The sequence below is a fragment of the Homo sapiens genome, chromosome 1 (assembly GCF_000001405.40).
Source record: "Homo sapiens chromosome 1, GRCh38.p14 Primary Assembly".
In the NCBI taxonomy this organism is placed as follows: Eukaryota; Metazoa; Chordata; class Mammalia; order Primates; family Hominidae; genus Homo; species Homo sapiens.
The window spans coordinates 183,179,877-183,184,587 of NC_000001.11; the positions used below are offsets into that span (position 1 = coordinate 183,179,877).

The following is a 4,711-nucleotide window of genomic DNA, read 5'->3' on the forward strand; positions in this document are numbered from 1 at the left end:
CTGAGATGGAGTCTCGCTCTGTCGCCCAGGTTGGAGTGTAGTGGCGTGATCTCGGCTCACTGTAACCTCTGCCTCCTAGGTTCAAGTGATTCTCCTGCCTTAGCCTCCCAGGTAGATGGGACTACAGGTGCATGCCACCACGCCTGGGTTATTTATTTTTTATTTTTTTATTTTTAGTAGAGACGGAGTTTCATTGTGTTGGCCAGGCTGGTCTCAAACTCCTGATCTCAACTGATCCACCCACCTTGGCCTCCCAAAGTGCTGAGATTACAAGCGTCAGCCACCACATCCAGCCTCATTTTTTTGTATTGTTTAACTATTAATTGATTTGAATATTTCTGTCTATAATAGCTACACCAAAAAAGATGCAAATGAAGTTCTTCTTCATGTGTTGATTTCCCACCACATCTCTGGCCCAGGTGTACCATCAGCCAACCACAGAAAAAGGATCATGTCCCTTTAATAAATAAACGGCATTACTTCAGTTCTGGTCTGGCCTCTACCGCTCCCTGAAAACTAGCTGTGGGCACACCACATATGTTTCTGCATAAAATGGAAGCTTGCCACTTCAGCCAGGGTTTTGCTTCAGAGAACATTGTTTTCTGGAGTCTGGCCAGCCTCAGAGAATTTACCCAGACGATCCAGGAAACACTGAACCATTTCCATTTATGGACATTTTCCTTTACCAATTAAGAACAAAGGGGAGTTAAAAAAATTTTTTTTTCCTGATTGCTATATTTTACATTTAAAATTGTAATGTGAATGCTGACATAATTAGAACTATCTGGGGAGATTTTTTAAAAGGCAGGGAACTGGGACCAACAGCCCTGTCCATTGCTGGCATGTTAACAGCCAGTACTTCAGTTTTTATCATAAGTGAGTTTGAAAGAGGATGACATGCCAGACATTCCTTCTGAAAGTAAACTAAGGTAATGATGGAACTCAAGGGAAAAATCAACATGTTACTTATAATTCTATTTGGGGGGTTGGGTGGGGAGATGACCATTCTGTGAAATGATTTATACAGCACTGTAGAAAGAAAAGTCCCCTGGGTGATGACTGTGAGCTGCAAAAGCAACAATGAACAAAGGGGACTTCCAGGGCCTCAGCCTTCCTGGCCACACCCGGTGGGAATGCCCCAGTCCTTTTCCGCTCTGTGGTTGGAGAACTTCTACGTAGAGCATTATCCTCACCAACACAAGGAGTTACACTCTAAATGGACAAATTTGGGGAGGATCAGATGAAAATTCAAGCGCTCACTTTCTAGAACAAAAGTCTGAGATGGGTTTAAAATTCATGCTCCTATGCAAACATTTCAAAAAGCATCTTTTACTTTTTGTAAATTGCCAAAACAGGTTTCCAGAAGAGGGCTCCTCCTGCAATGCTTGGGTGATGTCTCTGCCCAAAGGTCTGAGCTGGCCACTTAGTGCTGATCCAAACCAGCAGAGATGGTTTTGTCAGGCCTGGTTTTATCACACAACTTATGCAAACACTGGTATGTTTCCAGTGGTTGCTTTGAGGTTGCACATTTGAATTAAAGTATCTGAATTATGAAATATATTCTTTTGAGATTTTCTCTTTTTTATATCAGTTTATTGAGACATTTTGTATACAATCCAATTTTAAGTGTACAATAGAGTTTTTTTTTGTGTTTTTTTTTCTTTTGGAGACAGAGTCTCGCTCTGTCGGCCAGGCTGGAGTGCAGTGGCACGATCGATCTCGGCTCACTGCAAGTTCCGCCTCCTGGGTTCATGGCATTCTCCTGCCTCAGCCTCCCAAGTAGCTGGGACTACAGGCGCCTGCCACCATGGCTGGCTAATTTTTTTGTATTTTTTTTTTAGTAGAGACGGGGTTTCACCGTGTTAGCCAGGTTGGTCTCGATCTCCTGACCTCGTGATCCATGCGCCTCAGCCTCCCAAAGTGCTGGGATTACAGGTGTGAGCCACCACACCTGGCCTTTTTTCTTTCTTTTTTTTTTTTTGATACAGAGTCTCTTTCTGTCGCTCAGGCTAGAATGCAGTGGCATGATCTCGGCTCACTGCAACCTCCGCCTCCCGGATTCAAACGATTCTCCTGCCTCAGCCTCCCAAGTAGCAGGGATTACAGGTGTGCACCACCAGTCCCGGCTAATTTTTGTATTTTTAGTAGAGATGGGATTTTACCATGTTGGCCAGGCTGGTCTCAAACTCCTAACCTCAGGTGATCTGCTCACCTCAGCCTCCAAAGTGCTGGATTACAGGTGTGAGCCACTGAGCCTCACCAGCAATTGATTACTTTTGACCACAGTAATATTTCTTTCATCCTCCAGAAGTATCCTCATGGCCCATTGCAGTCAGTCCCTGTCCCTGGCAACCACTGATCTGCTTTCTTGCTTTGTAGTTTTACCTTTTCTAGAATTCATTTAAATGGAATCACGTAGTATCTGGGCTCTTGTGCCTGGCTTGTTTTAGCACAATGCTTTGAGATTCACCCATGCTGTGTATGTATCAGTAGTTTATTCCTTTTTGTTACTGAGTAGTATTAAGTTGACTTTTGTCTGGATTTGAAAAAATATATATTTATTTGGGCCATATGGAAAAGCAAATAGATTTTTGTTTTTGCTTTTTTGAAAAGCCATGTGTTAATTAAAGGTAATCCTAAGAATACATTTAAATCTTTACCTTTACCTTTTCCTTGAAATGTAAGATCCCTACCTGTCTGAAAGTGAAGTTTTAAATTCACAATTTTTTTTTTTTTGAGACAGAGTCTTGCTCTGTTTCACAAATTTTGAAACAGGCTGGGCACAGTGGTTCAGGCCTGTAATCCCAGCACTTTGGGAGGCTGAGGCGGGAGGATCACTTGAGGTCAGGAGTCCAAGACCAGCCTGGCTAACATGGTGAAATCCCATCTCTATTAAAAAACACAAAAATTAGCCACGTATGGTGGCACCTGCCACCAATCCCAGCTACTCAGAAGGCTTAGGCAGGAGAATCGGTTGAACCCAGGAGGTGGAGGTTGCAGTGAGCTGAGACTGTGCCACTGCACTTCGGCCTAGGTGACAGAGTGAGACTCCATCTCAAAAAAAAAAAAAAAAAATTGAAACATTTGGTAAGAAAATCTGTATGTGAAGGAAATTTCCAGATATGCAGCAAAAATATGAAATAATTAATAGCATCCAAGTAATTATTGGTAATACGGGCATGAACCTGGATTAGGCCAAGAGTTCCACAAAATTGTAAAATAATGATTCAATAATTAATTAGATGGATTGAAGCAAAAATTTCATCTTTCTCATATGGTGTTTGTTAGTAATTTTAACAACAGAAAAATGATTAGTGCTCACTCAGAGATAATAATAATTTTTAAAACAATAATTATTGTTCTTATTATGGCTATATCTGTATAGTACATATTATGTGCCTGGTGCTGTTCTGAGCCCTAGATAATTCATTAACTCTAATAACCCTACTAGGTAAGTGTTTTAATATTATCTCCATTTTATAGATTAAGAAACTAAGGATCACAGAAAGCAAAGTAACTGCTTTGATGAATAGAAGCCAGGATTTGGCCCTGGGAACCTGCCTAAGCCTCAACTTTTGGCCACTAGAACTCTCTTAACCTCAGGAATGCACTAGAGAAGAATTCTCAGATTGGTAAAAGGGGTCGATATTGTCCCTGAGCAAGGTAAGGGATGAGGCCAGAGCAGGGGCGTCAAGCCTGAGCCAGACAGTTGTTTGGATGTGTGGAGAAGCCCAGAATAAGGCAATGTGAAGAGGTGGGAACTGAGAAAAGTTGGGGAGTGCCTGCCTTAAGGCGTTTACATTTTAAAAATATGTTTTAAATCCTGCACTGTTCACATAAAAGAGGCTGCTGGTGGGTCTGGTGCCCAGGGGCCTGTGCCCATTTGCTGCCCCTGGTCCAGATGACCTCTGGCAGTCCTTCCAGAACTAACATCTTGGGAAAAATTAGAAATATTTGTTCAGAGTCTTTTGTGACTTGAATTTATCGATGTAGGCCAATAGTCTACAATCTGGCTAGGTTATAATGGTCATTGATAAATAACTTTTGATTGCATGTTGAATTCATTCAGTGTTGTGAATTTGTCTTTGTTTTTTATGGTACTTTTTAATCTGACGTAACAAAGAGCTAATGGATTGTGGAGTCATATGGCCTGGTTTTGAACCTTGGCTTTGCAACTTACTAGCAGTGTGACTTTGAGCATGTTACCTGACTTTCGCATGCCTGTGTTTTCTTGTCTGTAAAATGGGGAAATTAACAGTACACCTAATTCATAAAGTTGTTTTAAAGATTAAAAGTTTAATGAGATAATGGATTTACAACAGCGACTGGCAAATAGTAAGCATTACTTATGTGTTTGTATTGCTATTATCACTGTCCCAAAATGATGCTAGATGAAAACATCTGTTCCAACTTTTAACATATAATAAACTATAGCAATCTGCACTAAAATGAAATCTTCCTTCAAGACTTTATTTTGTAGGGCCCTGTTCCTTGTTCCTGCAGGACCGTGGTGAATTGCACAACAAAGATGGGACTCAGGGACAGGACCTCAGCCTCCACAAGGCACCAGCGACTAGAAGGGAAAATTCTAAATACCGTCTCTGTGAACTGAAACCTTAGCTGTAGCTGGAGACTCTGAGTTTTGAGAGAGAAGAATATTTGTGTAATTTGTTTGAATCCTGGGCAGAGTAGAAGAGAATCAAGCCTTGGA

At 41.3% G+C, this 4,711-nt stretch overlaps 1 annotated feature.

Moving 5' to 3' along the window:
• Positions 1,125-1,244: an enhancer, noted in NCBI's record as "active region_2211". NCBI's record gives its function as "activates an Ori minimal core promoter by ATAC-STARR-seq in GM12878 lymphoblastoid cells {active_cell/tissue: GM12878}" and the evidence as "EXISTENCE:reporter gene assay evidence [ECO:0000049][PMID:35858748]".